This window comes from Homo sapiens, chromosome X (assembly GCF_000001405.40).
Source record: "Homo sapiens chromosome X, GRCh38.p14 Primary Assembly".
In the NCBI taxonomy this organism is placed as follows: Eukaryota; Metazoa; Chordata; class Mammalia; order Primates; family Hominidae; genus Homo; species Homo sapiens.
This window is the reverse complement of record NC_000023.11, coordinates 137,193,901-137,195,376: the sequence shown is the minus strand read 5'-3', so window position 1 is coordinate 137,195,376 and position 1,476 is coordinate 137,193,901. Positions and strand designations below refer to the sequence as shown.

The 1,476-nt window shown below is 42.9% G+C and overlaps 1 annotated feature.

Moving 5' to 3' along the window:
* Positions 944–1,113: a silencer, noted in NCBI's record as "silent region_21034". NCBI's record gives its function as "represses an Ori minimal core promoter by ATAC-STARR-seq in GM12878 lymphoblastoid cells {active_cell/tissue: GM12878}" and the evidence as "EXISTENCE:reporter gene assay evidence [ECO:0000049][PMID:35858748]".

The following is a 1,476-nucleotide window of genomic DNA, read 5'->3' as shown; positions in this document are numbered from 1 at the left end:
ATTGCCTCTCTTCTCAACATCTGCACCATTCAGTAGATATGGGAGGTTAGATGAGTTACTGAAGCTCAGATGCCCTCATCCGTATACACACACACATAAATATACACATATATATGCCAGGCACTGTTCTAACTACTTACATGTGTTGTCATTTACTCCTCACATCAACCCTATAAAGTAGATTACTTTTATAATCTCCATTTTAGAGGTGGAAAAACAGAGGTACCAAGAACTTAGGTAAATTGCCCAGTCACACATCTGGTAGATGGCAAATCAGGTTCAAAGGTGGGTAATCCTACTCCAGACCCTGTGCTTCCCACCATTACCGTCATTACAGGAACACTAATACTACCTATATCATAGGATTATTATGAAGGTTGTGCTAGCTGCTGCATTTAAAATGCCTAACAGTGCCTGGCGCAAAGTAAGCTCTCAAAAAATGTCAGCTATTATTACTACTAAGGAAAACTAGAAGTTCTCATTTTTTTTGGCAAATGGAATAGTTTGGATAGCCATCTGGGTTTGGACAAAAGGCAAGCCTGGGTGTTGTAAAAAATCCAAGCCATACGCATTACTGCAGCCAATCTGATCATGGTTCTGTGCTCCCTTTTTAGCCTGAGCATTTATTTTCCTGCCCTTCTGGTTAGGGTGGCAAAATGTATTGTACTCCCATTTCATGAGCTTTTGCTGCAAAAAGATAATGGAGTGGAAAGACATGAGACACTCTTATGGCAATTTGTATTTCTCCTCCACAGCACTGAACACACTTGTAGTTATTATTTATGTAATTACACATTTATTGCCCTCTTTCTCCCCTAGACCAGACAGTAAACTCCTTGAGGGCAAGAACTGTGTGTGCTTTTCCACCACTATGTCTCCAGCTCCTGGCACAGAACTTGGCATGAGGTGTGCATTCAGTGGATGTTTGTGGAATGGATGAATGAATGATGCTGCTGCCCTAGGTCTGTAGAGCGAGTTGCAGGTCCTCTCCGGATGAGGGGAATGCCAGAAAAGGTGCAATTCCTACGTACAGCCAAAAGGTGGCAGAGTGACTCTGCAAACAGTCACTTCCAGCCTCCAGAGAGGAGAAAATGACAGTCTGGGATCTGAGTGGTCTTGTCAGAAACTGCAAGACTCAGAATGACCTCTGTAGCCCCCATGTTGTTTAGCCAAGGGCACTGCACATCGTACATGCTCAAAAATACTTGCTAAAACATACAACTCTTCCTTCAGTGAGGATTTTTATTCATTTATCTTTCTTGAATAAGAGCTGCCTTTCAACAAATATTTAGTGAGTGCTTGCTATGTAGGCACTGAGGCGACAGTGATGAACGAGGTGGATCTAGCTGTTGCCCTCGTTGAGCTTATATCTAGCAGGGAGGAGATGGTTAATGAGACAAATAAGTACCAAATGCTATGGGGAGAGGTCCTCTCCTGGTCCAGGAGAGTCGAGAGAGCTTTTTGGAAGTGTCATTA